Source organism: Homo sapiens, chromosome 10 (genome assembly GCF_000001405.40).
Source record: "Homo sapiens chromosome 10, GRCh38.p14 Primary Assembly".
Lineage (NCBI taxonomy): Eukaryota > Metazoa > Chordata > Mammalia > Primates > Hominidae > Homo > Homo sapiens.
In genome coordinates, this window is record NC_000010.11 from 100683749 (window position 1) to 100704611 (window position 20863).

At 47.1% G+C, this 20863-nt stretch overlaps 2 annotated features.

The window, feature by feature from the left end:
* Positions 106-607: an enhancer, noted in NCBI's record as "H3K4me1 hESC enhancer chr10:102443611-102444112 (GRCh37/hg19 assembly coordinates)". NCBI's record gives its function as "activates a minimal SCP1, AML or CMV promoter by ChIP-STARR-seq in naive and primed H9 embryonic stem cells {active_cell/tissue: H9 hESC(naive and primed)}" and the evidence as "EXISTENCE:reporter gene assay evidence [ECO:0000049][PMID:30033119]".
* Positions 3762-4266: an enhancer, noted in NCBI's record as "H3K4me1 hESC enhancer chr10:102447267-102447771 (GRCh37/hg19 assembly coordinates)". NCBI's record gives its function as "activates a minimal SCP1, AML or CMV promoter by ChIP-STARR-seq in primed H9 embryonic stem cells {active_cell/tissue: H9 hESC(primed)}" and the evidence as "EXISTENCE:reporter gene assay evidence [ECO:0000049][PMID:30033119]".

The following is a 20863-nucleotide window of genomic DNA, read 5'->3' on the forward strand; positions in this document are numbered from 1 at the left end:
ACCTGTGCAGGTGCTGTGTCTCAGCAGCTCAAAGCTCCAGCCTCGGCAGGGTCCCGAAGGCAAGTGGGTGGAGCCTGGTTCCATCCTCTGCACCCCCCAGTTCTAGCTCCCTCTGCAGCTGCCCCTCCAGCTCCAGGCCCCCTGGGCAGCCCCCTCCCTCCCTGCCGCCTGCTTGCCCGGCGCTGTGTCTCTTCTCTGAAAACCAGACTAGGGACGGGGGGAGGGGGGAGGATCCCAGGAGAGGAAGTGGCATCTGACGGCCCCGGCACCAAACCTGGGGGGCTGCAGGGGGGAGGGGAGGAGCAGGGAGGCCTCTCATTGTGTGAGGGAAATTTTATTTTTAACAGATGCTAAGGCAGATGGCACAGAATTAACAGAAAATGGGAGAGGAAAGAGAGGAAGAACATTACTGACTCCGGAGAGAGTGGACATTAAAAAAATAAAGAATAAGGGAATGAAAACAAGTTTAAGTGCTCTCTCCGGGGGGGAGGGGGGAGGGGAGGAGAGCTGAGAGGCAGAGAGGGACGGAGCAGCGTGGTGATAACCAGAGGCGTGAAATTACAAAAGTAAAATTTGTGGGACTCGGGAGGGGCTGAGAAGGCCCCAGTTTCATTGCAAAACTCACTCAGAAATTACTGATGTGATGTTTGAGCTTTTATCATTAATAATAATCTAGAGGGGAGGGGAAGACAAAAGGACTTGTGGGCTGGGTGGGGGGGTGTTGAGGCCCCAGGAAAAAAGGTGCGTGCGCTGTGGGGCAGGGGTGAGAGAAAAGTCATTTCTGTGACAGAAAAAAGAAGGTAAGAGAGAAAAACTCAGGGAGACACAGCAGAAACTGAGACAAATGGAGAGACAGAGGCAGAAGAAAAGGAAAGGAAGGAGAGAAACAAGAGAGAAAAAGGAGGAAGAAGAGAAGCTGTGGGAGAAGGGTTAAGATAGAAGGGGTGGGGGGAATGAAAGGCAACTAAAGAGAGATCCGGAGGTGGTGCGGCGGAGACAAAGAGACAGAGACGGCAAAGAAGACAGAGATGAGGAGAGAGACAGCCAGGAAAACTGTATCAGAAACAGAGCAAGACAAAACACACAGTGCACTCAGGGGTATGGAAACTAGCCCCAAAGCCGAGTGAACAATGGGCAAAGTGACCAGAAGCAGGGGGCCCAGAGAAACACGGCAGGAAGACAAAGACAAAAGAACAGCGGCCCGGACAGACAGAGAAATGGATGAAGAAAAAGAAAGAGTTGGGAAGAGTGAGAGACAGAGTGAGTGAAAGGCAGAACAAAACAGAGAGAGAACAAAAAAAAACTCAGACAGACTTTGAACAAGACACAGAAAGAGTTGGAAAGACAGAAATTTCAAGAGAGAGAGAAAGAGACCCCCACAATCAGGATGAGAAAGGTGAGACTCAGAAAGGGAGAAAGAAAAACTGAGCCTGAGGCAGAGAGAGACAGAGAGGCTGTGGGGGAGACGACAGAGAGGGCAGGAAGGGAGGAAGGGATGGGAGACAAAGAGGAATGGCCGTTTATCTCTCCTCCCAAATTAATTGAGGCTACATCAGCCTGAGCCACTAAAACGGAGCGATTATGAATGGGTTAGTCACAGGTGGAGTTAAAGGCCTTCAGAGGGATATTAGCCAAAATTGAGTGGCTTTTAATTTCTTTCTAACGAGAGACTGTGGCTGGGGAACCAGGCACCGCCTCCACTCAGCTCCACTGCTAAACACGGCGTGCAGGCAGCCTGGGCCACTCGCCACCTGACCTGTGTGGCATAGGCAGCCAACTGGAAATGGCCATGCCTGTGACATGCCTGCCACATGCTTGCAACATGCCTGTAACATGGCCCCCCACACAATGGGGGGCCACCACCTTTGTGGTGGGTGAGGAGAAGGAGGGGTCAGAGCCCTTGGAAGTGGCCAGGCGAGGGAACACATGGGCAAAGGCTGAACAGTCTTGGATGTGGAAGAGGGTGAGAGGGGAAGTAGATGCTTCATTAAAAGTCCTGCCATTGCTACAGGGTTCCCCAATTACCCCGATCCCACTTTGAGGAAGGCATCATGGTCCAGCATTGCTTTTCTCCATCCTGGAGAAACCAAGTCCCTGAGATTACAAGTACTATTGCCAACTTACACATGAGTGACAGTGATGACCTGAACCCTAGGAGCAGGATGGTGAGGCCAGAGACCCAGATGTGAGTCTCAACTCAGGCAGAACCCTGGATGACACCCCTCTGGCTGGGCCTCGGTTTCTCCATCTATAAAATGAGGGAGCTGAAGTCTCAGATCTCTGCTAGCATCAACATGAGTGAGAGACAGAGGGAGTGAGTTAGACAGACTTCCTGTCTAATGTCTTATCCAGGGGTCCCTGCTGCATAGGGGACATATGGGTTAGGATATGTGACCCAGGAGAGCATTTGCAATCACTGGAATAAGGTATGTGAACTAAACATAGGGTCCCTGGTCCAGCATGATACAAGTCACAGAAAGTGCAGTGATGGTCCCAGGCCGTGAATTCACAGATGATGGACGCCTGGGTGGTGAGGGCTAAGGAAGGCTAGAGAGGAGGAAAGATCACTGTAGATTAGCGGAGCCCAGCGAGGGTGTAGTTTGAAGAGGGTCATGAGTGGTTGGTTGGAGCCACGGGAGAGGACATTCCTAGTGGGGACACCGAGATCAAAGGTACAGTGGTGCCACCTGGCTGGAATTGACCCTACATGGATATATGGTGGGCAAGGATGAGGGGGACAGAGGGGAGACAGTGGGCCCTGGTCTTGCAGGCTTTGAGGCTTGAGTGAGAACACGGAACTCAACCCTGTAGGTGTGGGACGGAGGGTGCAGAGTGGGGTTCTGGGCACAGGCAGAAGAGTGTTTGGGGATTTGGGGTATTTAGGGGAGGTCACCATGGGACAGGAGTTGGGGGAGAGCATGGAAACAAGTCAGCAGACGGGGGACTGATGTAACAGGGTGGGTGAACCTGAGTGAAGGAGAGGATGGGAGAAATAGAGATGGCAGGACCTGGTAAGCGACAGGGTATGGGGATGAGGACAGGATATGAGTAAAAGATGACCTTGGGTGTCAAAGCCAGTGCCTTCGAGAATGTTGGTGACCACAGCAGTAGGCAAAGCGGGATGGGAGCTAAGGCAGACACAAAGATGCTGGCTTCCACCCGAGAACAAAGAGGATGTGGGAGGCAGTGTGGTCCGACGGGAAGTTCAGCCATCCAAGCATCTCTAATATCCAACTTCTTGTGCTTTCTCAGCCACTAATTAGCTATGGGACCTTGGACAAGACACTCCCCATCTCTGGACCTCAGTTTGTTCATCTATAAAATGTGGGAGTTGGTCTGGGCTCTTTTTAAGTTTCCCTCTAGGTCTATGATTCTGAGACCCAGAGACAAAGCCAGGGACAGAGACCTGGATGGAAACAGAGACAGGGACGGGAAGAGAGACTGGTGATCATTCCAACTGCCCTCTGGTCCCCTGGGCCAACAGCTGCGCCCCCTCCTCCTCGAAACTCCATTAACACTCAATTAGGGGGCCTGATGGGCTTGAGCCTGGGGAGCCCCCTCCCTCTCTTGCACACAGGGTGTCCCATTGAATGTTCAGCTGATGAGCCCACTGGGAGGAGGCTTCACTCAAATTTATAACTAACTCTGGCGGCTGCCCTGCCGGCCCCGGCCTCTTTTCCCTTCCTCCTCCCAGAGAGGAGCCCATGGGGCTGGGTGAGGACAGGGAAGGAGGGCAGCGCCCACGCTGGAGACCCCAGAGATGAAAGGGAGCGGGCCCCAAGCAGAGGAAGTGGGAGGGGAGAAGTGAGGAAGAGCGCGTGAGAGTGTGTGAGAGAGAAAAATGACAGGCCCTGAATATTGGGCGCCCTCACTTTAAATCAAGATAAAAGACTGAAGTGGAAAATGAGAGTCCAGAGAAGCCCCGGACGGCTCGGGGCGCTAATGGAAACACATGGCTGCCGGCTGCGGGCTTGTCAGCTTCCCCCGGCGCTGCCATTCCCGTCTGATAATCCGGCCTGCCATAAAATTAGACTAGCAAATACCTCCTGACAAAGATGCATGTTTCTCTCTATTGTGCCATCATAAAAAAAACTCCGCTGGTGACTCGGGGAGCCGCAAACTTCAATTTAAATTTACAGTGCTGCGGAAGGAAAGTGATATGCACTCAAAAATTTTAATAACCTATTAAGTTACGACTTCAATTTCATTTTATGAATATTTTCCTTGGGGAGCACGGCTATCACAGAGAAAGATAGAAATTTAAAAAAGATAAATAGTGCCATTAATCTCCAACATTTCTCTTCCATTATCCTTGAAAATTAGGAGTTATTTTTGTTCAGATCTTCATGTAATTAGCTCCCTCCACTTGATTCACTAGCCAGAAAATGACCATGTTCAGAAAATTAAAAATTTGTCATTAAGTGGAATTTAACATAATATCATTTATCTTTATCTATTCCCCAGCTGACAGCAGGAAGCCTTGGCTGCCTTACCGGCTGGTGTGTCAGAGTAGAGAGGGACTGCTTGGGGAGAGACACTGGGGGAGACAGAGATAGAGACCGAGGGAGGGAGAGAAGGCCAGTGCAGAGGGGGCCAAAGCCAGGCGAGGAGGGCAGGCAGGAGGCCTCCGGAACTGAGAGTCAGCCAGGGTGGGGAGGCAGAGGAGGCTGAGGGCAGAAGAGAGGAGGCGCAGGCTGCTGGGGTCAGCAGGGGTGGGTGTGGGCCTGAGAGCAGGGCAGATGGGAGGGGCTGAGGGTGGAAGAGGAAAGCCAGAGAGGCACATCAGGAGCAGATGCCCAAAGACGAAAGTAGCTGGCTAGTAGGGCTGGGGTGAAGAAGTGACTTGGAGGACAGAAACCCAGCAGAAGGAAAGAAACCTCCAGAAAAGGGGGCTCAAGGTGGGATGGGAGAGGTAGGGGACACCCTGTCCATTGGGAGGACTGACCACAATCTGGCTTCAAGAGAAGACAGAGAGACAAAAAGAGATAGTCAGAGAGCCAGAGAGGAGGTGACAAGGCATTGAGAGCCAGGAGGCAGAAATGGAGTGAGGTGGCGGCAAGTGTGAGTCAGAGAGAGAGAAACAGACAGAAGGGGCTCCGGGAAGTCACCATGTTTGAGACCCCAGACAAGCTCTTGAACTTCTCTGGAAGGCTGCATGGCTCACTCTCCTCCTCCCCTCCTCTAAACAGCCCCCACCCTAGTTCCCCCAAGTCAGAAATCATCCAATAAACGATTCAGACCTATTCCTGGGTGGAGAGAGCTGTGGCCAAGCCTGAGAGACTGAGAATTGGATAAAGGGATTAAACAGCAGCACATTAGTGAGAGATTTAGAGTGTAATAAACCCATTTCATAATAATATGTGTGTTGGGGCAGCGATCCATCATCACAGGAGCCTGTCCATGGCGGGGGGAGCACTGATCTGCTGGGAGGAGACCCGCACGGATGGCTGAGGTTTTTTCTCAGGGTCTCAGGATATGGGCAAGGGGTGCAGACAGGCCCCCAGGGCTATGAGGGGGGCACAGGGATGCTGAAGGCATCTTTGGCTCAAATTGCTATAGGGATCAACCTGAGGCTATAGCTGGGAAGAATCTGGGCTCCAGAAGAGGTCTGGGAGCCTGAGAGACTCCCTTGTTTCCCCAGCCTAGGACCTCTGCAGTAAGGGTAGAAGGATTTTTCCAGGGACAGCTCCAAGCTGCGGAGTCCACAGGTCACAGGTGGGATCTAGCAAGTTGAAGACTCCCAGATAAGCCCCCTGCTGCTTCCTGCATCCACTCTTTTCCCCTAGAAGAATTCCTATCCACCCAGAAAGGCCACGTCCTCCATAAGTTTCCCCTGAGCTCCCCATCCCACCTGTCCATCACCCAGAAACCCCTGCATTTCTTCCTGGGAGTGCTTAGGCTTCAGAGATGGTGTGGATTTGAATCCTGAGCTTGTCACTTACCGGCTATCTGATCTTGGCAGGTGACTTCCCCTTTCTAAGCCTCAGTTTCCCATCTGTCAAATGGAGATAATGGGTGTGAAATTATTCTATAAAGCAGAAAATCCCAAGGAAACATTATTATTGCTATGATTCCCCCACATTTGGCCCTCCACTCCCAGATTGCCTTGAGATATCTCTCGGCTTATTGTCATGGAGTTTCATCTCCCTGACTGGACTCTGAGCTTACTCAAAGGCCGGTAAGAAGTGGCACATTGGTTATATGATTCAGTATTTATTTTTATTTATTTATTTATTTGAGACAGACTCTCGCTCTGTCGCCCAGGCTGGAGTGCAATGGCACTATCTCAGCTCACTGCAACCTCTGCCTTCTAGGTTGAAGCGATTCTCATGCCTCAGCCTCCCCAGTAGCTGGGATTATAGGCATGCACCACCATGCCCAGCTAATTTTTGTATTTTTAGTACAGACAGAGTTTTGCCATGTTGGCCAGGCTGCTCTTGAACTCCTGACCTCAGGTGATCCATGCGCCTTGGCCTTCCAAAGTGCTGGGATTACAGGCGTGACCCACGGTGCTCGGCCTGATTCAGTATTTAAATTGTCCTGTTAATAGGGCAGAGGAAAACATTCTCCTGCTGTTTATCTCCATTGAAGGAAACCAGCATCAGGGATTAATAAACAAACTTCCCCCTGGAAAAAGGATTGAGAGATAGTAATGGACCAGTTAGGTCTCAGTTGTCAGTCTTTTCTTTTCTTTTTTTTTTGAGACGGAGTCTCGCTGTCGCCCAGGCTGGAGTGCAGTGGCGCGATCTCGGCTCACTGCAGGCTCCGCCCCACGGGGTTCACGCCATTCTCCTGCCTCAGCCCCCCGAGTAGCTGGGACTTCAGGCGCCCGCCACCTCGCCTGGCTAATTTTTTGTATTTTTAGTAGAGAAGGGGTTTCACCGTGTTAGCCAGGATGGTCTTGATCTCCTGACCTCGTGATCCGCCCGCCTCGGCCTCCCAAAGTGCTGGGATTACAGGCGTGAGCCACCGCGCCCGGCCAGTTGTCAGTCTTGAAACACTGGTGAGTGGAAGAAGTGGAGATGCTGAGAACAGAGATGACTTCCTAGGAGAAGAGAGGCCTGGGGAGTTTGGGCTATGGTGGGTGATGGTCCAGGTGGCCCAGGAGGATGTGAAGGAGGAAGGGTGGGGAAATCAGATGTCACTTCTCCAAGACCCAGGCACACTGGCTATCTTCCTTTTCTTCCATTGTCCCAGATATTTTATCCGTCTACTCCCATCTCAGAGAGGCCAGTGGGCATGGCCTTCAGCCCTGGCTGAGATTCCAGGTTCTTCCCTAGAAGGAGAAGTGGTGTAATCTCCAGTCCTAGGTTCAACCAGTCCCCAATCTGCTCTCAAATTTGACTGAATTCAGCATCAAACTCTGGTTAATTTCTAGGAACACAGACTTTCCGTGGTAACCCTATCCCAATAATGGAGCCTTCCTGAAACTTCACTTCAGCCAAAGCTGTCATTGTTTCTCCCAGACTTAAAAGTTTCACTGATACTAACACTGCACCCCTGCAACTGCACCGCCAGATCAACTGATCAAGGACATCATTGATCTGCCTGCTCCTCACCAAAAGCCAAGTAAATGTCATTGCCAGTCCCCCGAGCTTCTGCCAGAGGCCTTCCAGATCCCACAAAAGAATAGGGATGCAAAACTGGTTCTGTACTTTCTTCCAAAGCTCAAGCCAATACATCCTTTGCTTCTTTCTGTAAATATTTATTACAGGCTTGTTAAAGCCAAAAACAAAACGTATACTACAAAGCAATAAGTGTGCCTTAAGTTCTTTGTGAGTAATACAGAGCGTTCCAGTGTTCCAGGAAGGGACAGATCTGTGCAGACTGGCAGGGTCAGAGGCAGGATTGAAGGAAGAAGTGCCACTGGAGCTGGACAGGTGTTGGGCAGAGCTTCAACAGGTGGAGCCTGGAGGAACAGCTTGGCCAGAGGAGAGAGATGCATGGACAGAAGTGCAGAGAAGGAGGACTCCAGAATTTCAGGAGTATCTACTCTGTACCAAGAACATGCTGGCAGCTTTCAGCCATATTATCTCATTAACCCTTCCCAACATGTTTAGAGATAGGAGTTATAACCTCCGTGTATATAGATGAGAAACTGAAGTTCAGGGAAGTTAAATAACTTGCCCAACATCAGAGTTAGTAAGCAGCCTCAAACCTGGAACCAGTTGCCTCTGAAAGCCATGCCCTTTCCTCTACACTGTAGTGCCAGGCATGTTTGGGAAAAGAGCAGCCCAGTTTGTCTGGAGCATAGAGTGTGTGAAAGGAAAGGGAAAACTGCCCCACACTGGTCATTGCCTTTAAGGGTGCAGCACCATCTCTGGGACTGCTAGGGCCGTTCCTATAGAAGGGCCTGGTGCAGGCCGAATCTCCACCTGTGGCTCTCTTGGGGTCAACACCCTTGGGAACTCAGGAGAAGCAGGGACACAGGGAGAAGCAATGCTTCATCCACATGCTCCTTCAGTGACCCTCCTCTTCCTCCTGCATTCCCCATCATCTTTCCCTCTCCCCTCTGAGCCTTCCTTCTATGCCCTTATCCTCTGGACCTCTATCCTAATTTCCCTTCCCCTTGCTGTCAACCATTCCTGGATATACATCTGGGGTCTCCACCTCCCACCACCTCTTCCTTTCCTAACCCCTCTGTTCCCACTTACCACAATCACCAATAGCTTCCCCTAAAATATTTCCAGCCAGGCATGATGGCTCACACCTGTAATCACAACACTTTGGGGCCAAGACAGGAGGATCACTTGAGGCCAGGAGTTCAAGACCAGCTTGGGCAAAATACTGAGACCTTGTCTCTATGAAAAATTTTAAAATTGTCTGGGTGAGGTGGTGTGCATCTGTAGTCCTAGATACATAGGAGCCTGAGGCAGGAGGATCACTTGAGCCCAGAAGTTTGAGGCAGTAGTGCACAGTGATAGTGCCTGTGAATAGCCTTTTTACTCCAGCCTGGGCAACTTAGTGAGACCGAGTCTCAAAAAAAAAAAAAAAAAAAAAAATTCAGTGACTTCTCATTGACTTGCAATCCACCTTCATTGTTTACTAGCTTGATAAGTTACTTATTCTGCCTAAGCCTCAGTTTTATCACCTGTCAAATGGGAATGATAACAGTGCCTTCCTCTAACTCAATGAGATAAAATAAGGAAAGAGCATGGTACCTGGTATACAGCCAGCATTTAATAAATATTGGCAGTTATTATTTTTCTCTGCCTTTATTCTTCTTGATCACAATCCTCAAAAGTCCAGGGCTGGGCATGGTGGCTCACACCTGTAATCCCATCACTTTGGGAGGCAGAGGTGGGCAGATTGCCTGAGGTCAGGAGCTGGAGACCAGTCTAGCCAACATGGTGACACCCTGTCTCTACTAAAAATACAAAAAAATTAGCCAGGTATGGTGGCGTGCACCTGTAATCCCAGCTACTGGGGAGGCTGAGGCAGGAGAATTGCTTGAGCCCAGGAAACGGAGGTTGCAGTGAGCCTAGATTGCGCCACTGTACTCCAGCCTGGGTGACAGAGCAAGACTCTGTCTCAAAAAAAAAAGGTCCAATAGATAATGAATAAAAAAATACATTAAATGACACTGCATTGCTTACAAAAAGACTCCAAAGTCCTTAGCCAGGTTGAGACCTCCATTGCTTGGAAGCCAGATGGTCCATCTCCTTCACCCCCATGTAGAAGGATGTGGTCTGATGACAGAGTCTCCAACCTGGAATCCATAGAACTTTAAAATTCCTCAGAAGTATGTAAAGGGTCCACAGAGTTTGTTTGTTTGTTTGCTTGTTTGTTTGTTTTAGAGATGGGGTCTGGCTCTGTCACCCAGCTGGAGTGCAGTGGTGCAATCATAGCTCACTACAGCCTGAAACTCCTTGGCTCAAGCCATCCTCCCACCTAGGCCTCCCAAAACGCTGGGATTACCGGTGTGGGCCACCATGCCTGGCCTGAACTTTCATATAGGTATATTTTTGAAACCGTAAATAAGAGATCATATGTTCATAGAAATGTTGTTATGAATTGAATTTGAACACATTAGAGGCTACCATCATGATAAGTATGTGGGTTTATTGACATTTTTTCCTAATAAGTAAAAAGCTAAATCTTGAGCCTTCATAATATGTGCTAATAAAATACTGTCTTCTCAGTTTTACACATTAGGTTTGTTTGAAAAAGATGGGTTGGGGTGGGAGGTGATTCTCTCCAAAAAAACAAAAAAGCTTGAAATCAGTAGTAAAGCGGAAGGACTACACGAACCTGGGCCCCAGTCGTAAGCATATACCACTTCCTTCCCCAAATTTCTGAAGACTTCAGGCCTCCATTTCTTCACAGATAAATGTGTATCTATCTCGACCACATGGGGTTAACAATAGGCTAAAATAAAAGAATATATGAGAAAGTGCTTGCACGGTACCTGCATCAAAAGCTAAGGCTTATTGAGTACTAACTGTGTGACAGGACCTGAGCTATAAGCCTGCATATATGATTATACTTCATCCTTGCAGCAACCCTTTAAAGTAAATTTTGCCACTACTCTCATTTACAGATGATGACCCTGAGGCTCGGAGCCATTAAGTAATTTGCCAAAGGTCACAAAACCATAAGCTGTGGAGCTGGGTTTTGAATCTAGGCAGGCAAGCACTAGAGCCTGAGTTGTTTTGTTTGTTTGTTTGTTTTGTTTTAGAGACAGAGTCTCACCTTGTCGCCCAGGCTGGAGTGCAATGGCCAGATAATTTTTGTATTTTTTAGTAGAGATGGGGTTTATATGTTGGCCAGGCTGGTCTCGAACTCCTGACCTCAGGTGATTCACCCACCTCAGTCTCCCAAAGTGCTGAGCCGCCGCACCTGGCCGAGTCTGAGCTTTTTTTTTCCCCCCAAGACGGAGTCTTGATCTGTCACCCAGGCTGGAGTGCAGTGGCTTGATCTGGGCTCACTGCAACCTCCACCTCCCAGGTTCAAGCAATTCTCCTGCCTCAGCCTCCGGAGTAGCTGGGACTACAGGTGCCCACCACCACACGCGGCTAATTTTTGTATTTTTAGTAGAGATGAGGTTTTGCCATGTTGGCCAGGCTCGAACTCCTGACCTTGCAATCTTCCCCCCTCAGCTTCCCAAAGTGCTGGGATTACAGGCGTGAGCCACTGTGTCTGGCCAAGCCTGAGCTTTTTAAAAAGTATTGAGCACTTTCTAGGAAGCTGGCACTGTTCTAAGTTCTTTTACAGGTTCCAATTCACAGAATTCTTACAATTGCCATAGCAGGTGCATCCCACGAGACTTGTGCCATATGACTTTGCATAAGAGGTGGAGTCTATTTCCCATCCCTCTGAATCTGGGCTGGCCATGTGATTTTTGGACCAACAGAATGCAACAGAAGTGACACTTTCTGGGCTTAGGCCTTAAGAGAGCTCGCACCTTCCATAGTCACCCCGTTGGAGGCCAGCTACCATGTAAGAAGTCTGAACTCTTCAGCTGGAGAAGCCAGTGGAGACAGAAAGGCCCTGCAGGGTGAGAGGTGGCATGAAGGAGTGCCAAGGTTTTCCAGCCAGCAGCCACTGCCAGGCATGTCAGTGGGGCCATCTTGGATGTTCCAATCCCAGCTGAGTTTCCACATGAATGCAGCTGTGGGAGGGAACTCAGCCAGCACTACAAAGAGCAGAAGAAATGCCCAGCTGAGCCCAGCCAACCCCCAGACTCATGAAACATTTAAAAAATCAGTTTTAGCTACTGAAATCTGGGGTGCTATGTCATACAACAATCAATAATCAAAACAAATTAGGTGAATCCTACTAGTTCCATATTTTACAAATAAGACAACTAGGGCATGAAGGGGTTGAGATCCTAGGATTAAGCCTGGGTAAGTTATGACCCACCATGATGACCGCTAGGATCCTAGGATTAGGCCTAGGTAAGTTATTTAACCTCTTTATGTCCTCGTGAATGAGTGAGTTAGTAAATGAGTGACAAAGCCAATGCCTGCACTGAGACATTCTGGTTCCAGAGACCACATGAATAACTACCAGGGTGCGATAGGCTGAAAAATAGCCACTCAAAGATGTCCTTATCCTATACCGGGCGCGGTGGCTCATGCCTGTAATCCCAGCACTTTGGGAGGCCGAGGTGGGCAGATCACCTGAGGTCGGGAGTTCGAGACCAGCCTGACCAACATGGAGAAAACCTGTCTCTACTAAAAATACAAAATTAGCCAGGCATGGTATCACATGCCTGTAATCCCAGCTACTAGGGAGGCTGAGGCAGGAGAATCACTTGAACCTGGGAGGTGGAGGTTGCGGTGAGCCAAGATCATGCCATTGCACTCCAGCCTGGGCAACAAGAGCGAAACTCCCTCTCAAAAAAAAAAAAAAAAAAAAAAAAAGTCCTTATCCTAATCCTAATGCCCAGAACCTGTGAATATTTACCTCACATGATAAAAGAGATTACCGGCCGGGCACGGTGGCTCACGCCTATAATCCCAGCACTTTGGGCAGCCAAGGCAGGCAGATCACTTGAGGTCAAGTGTTCGAGACCAGCCTGGCTAATATGGTGAAACCTTGTCTCTACAAAAATACAAAAAAAAAAGAAAAAAAATAGCCGGGCATGGTGGCACACATCTGTAATTCTAGCTACTTCTGTGGCTGAGGGACGAGAATCACTTGAACCCAGGAGGCGGAGGTTGCAGTGAGCCAAGATCATGCCACTGCATTCCAGCCTGGGCAACAGACTCCTTCTGAAAGAAAGAAAAACAAAGAAAGAAAGAGAGAGAGAGGAAGGAAGGAAGGAAGGGAGAGAAGGAGGGAGGAAGGGAGAGAGAGAGAGAGAGAAAGAGAGAAAGAAAGAAAGAGAAAGAAAAAAAGAAGAAAGAGAAAGAAAGAAGAAAGAGAAAGAAAGAAAAGAAAAGAAAAGCGAGACATGATAAAAGGGACTTTCCAGATGTAACTATGTTAATGATTTTGAGGTCATCCTGGATTATCAGAGTGTGCACAATGTAACCACAAGGGAGGCAACAAAGTCGAAGTCAAAGAAAAAGGTGATGTGATTCAGGACCACAAGCCAAGAAATGAGGATGACCTTTAGAAGCTGGAAAAGACAAGTACACAGATTCTCCCCTCCAGCCTGCAGAAGGAACAGGCCCTGTTAACATCCTGACTTTAGCCCAATGAGACTAACTTTGTACTCTGACCTCCAGAACTGTAAGATAATAAATTTTGTTGTTTTAAGCCACTGCGTTTGTGGTCAATTGTCACTGCAGCAACAGAAAACTAATACATTGGGCCTCTGCTATTTAAAGAGAGCTGGATCCTTCCCTCGGGCTCTGGCTAGGCCAGTCTCCTTATTGCCTCCTGTCACATTTGGCGCCCCAGCCCTTCTCTGGCTCTTAAAAATCTCTATTGTCTCCATCTATTAATTCATTCCTACCCACCTCTTCCAGGAAGTCTTCTCTGAACATCCTAGATCACACTGCTCTGTCCTGTCTCTAAAAGCACTAGATGTTTTGCACCTTCTTACTCAGCACTTAGTGATATCAATGCTAATGTGCTGGCAGGCAGCCCAGTGACATTCTTATGAGTGTAAGTCATTGAATCCAAGGACATCAAGCCAGAGAAACCCTTTGAGAGTCTATCCCTTCATTTTATGGATGATGAAACTGAGTCCCAGGGAAGAAAAGAAAGCTGCATATCCAAGGTCACATATCCAGGGCTCAAAGACAGACCTTCTGACTTCAGATTCATAAACACATTCCTTCAGCAATTACTTATTGAGCCCTCGCTAAGCTAGCTGCTGGGGAATCACTGACAATCGTTAGCAGATGAGATTCCTGCTCTCTTGAAAGTCTCTGATACATGAGAGAGGGAAACACTGATGCAGTAATCACACAGATATATAATGACCCACCATAAGTGTCGGTAAAGCAGGCTGTGGGAGTGCAAAACATAGGGAACTCTTTCAAGCAGGAAAATCAGGGAAGTCTTCTCTAAGTAGATGATCGTTGACCTGAGATGTGAATAATGGTGGGCATAGTTAACTAGGTCTCTCGAGGGGTAGCAGGGAGAAGAAGAGAGTTTTAGGCAAAAGAAATGATGCATGCAAAGGCCCTGGGGCAGGAGGGAGCAGAACAAGGAGGAAAGAGGCAGCCAGGATGCCTGGAAGTCAGAGTAACAGGGAGAAAGGTAAGGGTCAAAGGCTACAGAAGTTGACAGGGGTCAGACCACAAGGGACGGGGAAGCCATGGTGAAGTTTTGATCTTAGTCCCAGTGGCAATGGAAAGCCATAGGAGAGTTTTAAGCAGGGTGATGACATGATCATATTTGAATTTTATAGCGTTTCCACGCACACCCCCTCTACCCTCTGCCAGGGCCTTCTCTTACCTCTATAAGCATATCAGAGATCGTTATTGCAGGGAGTTTTATGTCACTCTCTATTCCACTCCATCCCTAGCCTTGTACAAAGCAGATGCTCCATAAATATGTGTTGATTAACCTCTCAGCAGCATGCGACGCTGTTGACGGCCTCTCCCTCTTGAAGAGCTCTCTCTTCTGTTTCTGCGCTGCTGCACACTCCAACTTCCCTCCATCCTCCGATCACCCTGCCCCACTCCCACCCCATACTTCAGCATTTCTCCCAGTTTCACCTTTACGATCTTTCTACTTTGTCCACACTCTCCCCCTGGGTCATCCTGTTGCCTCCAACAGTAGTGATCTCTTCCTTCTGGGCAGAACTTCCACAAGGGCTGGGACCTTGTCTGTCTTGTTGCATCTGCAGAGCCTGGCACAATACCTGGCACCCAATAAATTATCAATATTTGATGAGAAGATGCTGTATGGTTCCGTGTATATGAAGCTCAAGCACAGGCCAAACTAATTTATGGCAATCGATTGTGGTCAGAATAGTGGTCACCCACGGGGAATCATGGCTGGGAAGAAGCACAGGGAACTTGGTTGGGGGAGGCTGGAAATCTTGATCTAAGGGTGTTGGCACAGGTGTCCACATATGGGAGAGCTCACTGAGCTGTACACTCAGATTGGTGTTCTTTCCTGTCTGTGCAGCGTATCTCAATAACAAAGTAGAAAAGAATGCAATATCACCACTCTGCTGAGAGGCAATTCCCATTTCTTTTCCTTTTTTTTTTTTTTTTTTTTTTGAGACAGAGTCTTGCTCTGTCGTCAAGCTGGAGTGCAAGCAAGCAAGATCTCGGCTCACTGCAACCTCCGCCTCCCAGGTTCAAGCAATTCTCCTGCCTCAGCCTCCCGAGTAGCTGGGACTACAGGCACGTGCCACCACGCCTGGCTAATTTTTGTATTTTTAGTAGAGACAGGGTTTCACCGTGTTGGCCAGGATGGTCTCAATCTCTTGACCTTGTGATCTGCCTGCCTCAGCCTCCGATAGTGCTGGGATTACAGGCGTGAGCCACCACGCCAAGTTGCAATTCCCATTTCTAACTGCTCTATGTGTCCACCTCGAAACCCACCTCATTATCTTTCCAGCCTCCCAAACCAACTCTTCTGGGTTCCCAATTATTCAGTTTCCAAACCTCAGGGCCATCTTGTCCCCACACCACCTCTTCTGACATCCCTCCCCACCCACCTTTCCAAGACGTGTAATACAAGTGGTCGTATGATTACACAGAATTTTAAGATGACCCCATGACTTTCGCCTCCTGGTGTTGCTCCCTGATTATGTTACATAGCAAAAGGGAGATAATCTGGGTAGGTCAAGTCTAATCACAGGAGCCCTTTCAGAGCAGAATGTTTTCTCTGGCTGCTGATAGAGGCAACTGGAGGTATTCAAATCACAAAAATAACGTACTGTTGCTGGCTTGGAAGACAGAGGGTCCATATGCAGGCACCAGAGAGTGGTTTTTAGGAGAATGACCCCCACCTGACAGCCAGCAAGGAAACACGGACCTGAGTCCTATTATAGCAAAGAACTGAATTCTGCCAACAAGAATGACAGTGAAAGCAGATTCTTTCCCCAGAGCCTCAAAGAAGAGCTCAGACAGGCTCACACCTTGATTTTAGCCTTGTGAGACTAAGAGAGAAATCAATTACGCCTGCCAAGACTTTCAACCTATAGAACTAAGATTTAAGAAAAAATAGGTGTTGTTTTAAGCCACAAAGTTTGTGGTATATTTTTACAGCAGCAATAGATAATACACACCTTCAATCCTATCTGTAGATAACTAATACACATCTTCAATCCTATCTATTTACAATGGCCTCCAAATCCATCCCTTCCTCCCCATTCCTTTGGTCTCACCATGACCCAGACTCCCTGATCTCACCTCTGCCCAAACCCGTCCATCTTGCTCACTGCCACCAGATTAATTTTCCAAAGTCACAACCCTGCTCACATCCTTTTTCTGCTGAAAAGCTCCCGTGACAGTGTAGCCTGGTGGTTATACTCTGCAACCAGAATGCAGGGTGTAAATCCCAGGTCCACCTCTTAGTGGTGGGTGACCCAGATCAAGCTGCTTAATCCACCCACCAAATGAGAGTAATAGTACCATCCTCATAGTGTAGCCACAAGTATTAAATGAGATAAGCATGCAAAAAATAGTTGTGCATGGTCCAGCAAAGGTAGACAGTCTACTCTATGAATGGAGGTTTTTAGAATATCACTATCAATGGCTCCAGGTATCTAACTGGTGATTAAACTCTTCAGCTGGGACTTACAGCAATGCCCTGCTATATCTCTTCAGCCTTTTCTCCCACTCCTTTTCTGCTAATCCCATCCTTTTCCTTCCATCTTCATCACCACTCCCCTCATTCACATTATCACCCTCCATTCCCAGGGGTCTCCTCACTGATTTACGTTATCTCCACTCTCTGCTGCCAGCAGGGACTGCTCAAAACACAAGCCTGATCGTGTTCCTCTGGACTTTTAAACTCTTCCATGGTCCCCACTGCTCTCATGTCCAAAATTCTTACAATCTATGAGGACTTCGACTGCCCAGTCTGCCAATGCCTCCGGACCCTTTCCCTTCACCCTCTGACCTCATCCCTCTTACTCACCAGGCTTCCTCTGCAACTGGGCCATCCACTTTGCTGTTCCCTCTTCCTGAAACACGCTTACCTTTCTTCTTTGCTTGGTCGACACCTATTTGTCCTTCCAATCTTGGTTTAATGCCCTGGGGACTTCCTCTAGGAATGCTTTCTTCACCTCACTAACTAGGCCACACTCTACGCGAGGCTCTCAGACAGCCCAAGCCGCTCCTGTTGACATTTCACAGGAGCGATTTATACCTCTCTGTGAACGTCTCCAATTGTCATAAGGTCCACAAAGCTTCTGTTATGATCACCATAACACAAAACAGCACCAGGGCAGAGCACAGTACCTGGCCAGAATCTGTGCTCGGAAGATGCTTGTGAAAAGAATGAGTGAGTGAAATTAACAAGAAGACTCTGCTGCTGCTAAACTGGACAACTTTGCCCACTGATGCTTTGTCATCTCCATGCTTTTGCTCGCTCATGTTCTCCAGTGATGTGGTCTTTCTAGCCAACTCTATTCTTCTGTAAATCCAACCCATCCCTGCAGTCTCTGCAAAGTAATCTTGACCAAATATTTCAGCCTACGCTCCTACCTCTACCTCTCCCACTGCCCCACAAAAATCATCTAGAGTCCATATTATTTCTTTCTGATTGTGAAAATAATGCATGTGTACTGTAGAAATTTTAGACAACACAGCTAATGCAGATGATATAAAAGAAAAAATAGAACATTTCAGATACCACTATCCAGAGATCATTGTTGCTTTTATTACAGAGTAAGTCCACCTATTTTTCTATATATAATCATGGAAATTATTTTTTATTTTATTTTATTTTATTATCATAATACTTTAAGTTTTAGGGTACATGTGCACAATGTGCAGGTTAGTTACATATGTACACATGTGCCATACTGGTGTGCTGCACCCATTAACTCGTCATTTAGCATTAGGTATATCTCCTAATGCTATCCCTCCCCCCTCCCCCCACCCCACAACAGTCCCCAGAGTGTGATGTTCCCCTTCCTGTGTCCATGTGTTCTCATTGTTCAATTCCCACCTATGAGTGAGAACATGCGGTGTTTGGTTTTTTGTCCTTGGGATAGTTTACTGAGAATGATGATTTCCAATTTCATCCATGTCCCTACAAAGCACATGAACTCATCATTTTTTATGGCTGCATAGTATTCCATGGTGCATATATGCCACATTTTCTTAATCCAGTCTATCATTGTTGGACATTTGGGTTGGTTCCAAGTCTTTGCTATTGTGAATAGTGCTGCAATAAACATACGTGTGCATGTGTCTTTATAGTAGCATGATTTATAGTCCTTTGGGTATATACCCAGTAATGGGATGGCTGGGTCAAATGGTATTTCTAGTTCTAGATCCCTGAGGAATCGCCACACTGACTTCCACAATGGTTGAACTAGTTGACAGTCCCACCAACAGTGTAAAAGTGTTCCTATTTCTACACATCCTCTCCAGCACCTGTTGTTTCCTGACTTTTTAATGATTGCCATTCTAACTGGTGTGAGATGGTATCTCATTGTGGTTTTGATTTGCATTTCTCTGATGGCCAGGGATGATGAGCATTTTTTCATGTGTTTTTTGGCTGCATAAATATCTTCTTTTGAGAAGTGTCTGTTCATGTCCTTCACCCACTTTTTGATGGGATTTTTTTTCTTGTAAATTTGTTTGAGTTCATTGTAGATTCTGGATATTAGCCCTTTGTCAGATGAGTAGGTGGCGAAAATTTTCTCCCATTTTGTAGGTTGCCTGTTCACTCTGATGGTAGTTTCTTTTGCTGTGCAGAAGCTCTTTAGTTTAATTAGATCCCATTTGTCAATTTTGCCTTTTGTTGCCATTGCTTTTGGTGTTTTAGACATGAAGTCCTTGCCCATGCCTTTGTCCTGAATGGTAATGCCTAGGTTTTCTTCTAGGGTTTTTATGGTTTTAGGTCTAACGTTTAAGTCTTTAATCCATCTTGAATTAATTTTTGTATAAGGTGTAAGGAAGGGATCCAGTTTCAGCTTTCTACATATGGCTAGCCAGTTTTCCCAGCACCATTTATTAAATAGGTAATCCTTTCCCCATTGCTTGTTTTTGTCAGGTTTGTCAAAGATCAGATAGTTGTAGATATGCAGCGTTATTTCTGAGGCCTCCCAAGACTAAACCAGGAAGAAATTGAATCTATGAATAGACCAATAACAGGCTCTGAAATTGTGGCAATAATCAATAGCTTACCAACAAAAAAGAGTCCAGGACCAGATGGATTCACAACTGAATTCTACCAGAGGTACAAGGAGGAACTGGTACCATTCCTTCTGAAACTATTCCAATCAATAGAAAAAGAGGGAATCCTCCCTAACTCATTTTATGAGGCCAGCATCATCCTGATACCAAAGCCGGGCAGAGACACAACCAAAAAAGAGAATTTTAGACCAATATCCTTGATGAACATTGATGCAAAAATCCTCAATAAAATACTGGCAAACTGAATCCAGCAGCACATCAAAAAGCTTATCCACCATGATCAAGTGGGCTTCATCCCTGGGATGCAAGGCTGGTTCAATATACACAAATCAATAAATGTAATCCAGCATATAAACAGAACCAAAGACAAAAACCACATGATTATCTCAATAGATGCAGAAAAGGCCTTTGACAAAATTCAACAACACTTCATGCTAAAAATTCTCAATAAATTAGGTATTGATGGGACGTATCTCATAATAAGAGCTATCTATGACAAACCCACAGCCAATATCATACTGAATGGGCAAAAACTGGAAGCATTCCCTTTGAAAACGGGCACAAGACAGGGATGCCCTCTCTCACCACTCCTATTCAACATAGTGTTGGATGTTCTGGCCAGGGCAATTAGGCAGGAGAAGGAAATAAAGGGTATTCAATTAGGAAAAGAGGAAGGCAAATTGTCCCTGTTTGCAGATGACATGATTGTATATCTAGAAAACCCCATTGTCTCAGCCCAAAATCTCCTTAAGCTGATAAGCAACTTCAGCAAAGTCTCAGGATACAAAATCAATGTACAAAAATCACAAGCATTCTTATACACCAATAACAGACAAACAGAGAGCCAAATCATGAGTGAACTCCCATTAACAATTGCTTCAAAGAGAATAAAATACCTAGGAATCCAACTTACAAGGGACATGAAGGACCTCTTCAAGGAGAACTACAAACCACTGCTCAATGAAATAAAAGAGGATACAAACAAATGGAAGAACATTCCATGCTCATGGGTAGGAAGAATCAATATCGTGAAAATGGCCATACTGCCCAAGGTAATTTATAGATTCAATGCCATCCCCATCAAGCTACCAATGACTTTCTTCCCAGAATTAGAAAAAACTACTTTAAAGTTCATATGGAACCAAAAAAGAGCCCGCATCGCCAAGTCAATCCTAAGCCAAAAGAACAAAGCTGGAGGCATCACGCTACCTGACTTCAAACTATACTACAAGGCTATGGAAATTATTTTTAAACCTCACAATGAATCAGTGAGGTTCATATTGTTCTCCCCATTTTACAAAAAAGAGAGGTTCAGATAAATTCAGTAATTTTCTCAAGGTCACAGAACAAGTAAAGAACACAGGAGTAGTAAAAAACAGAACCAAGACTGGGACACAAGCCTCCAGCCTCCCTGGCTCAGAGCCCCTTGCTGTCTCCACTATGCCCACCATCACCCTGGCCCCTCTGCCCTCTCCATCTCCTCTTACTCCTCTTATGTCGCTGCTCTTTCTCCCTTCAAACCCAAGCCAAAACTCCCTCTTACACATTCTCTTCCACCCAGCCATTTGACTTCAAGGATAGTCACTATAGCAACAGTAGAAGACTGGTAACAACTTAAATGCACGTCAGCACTG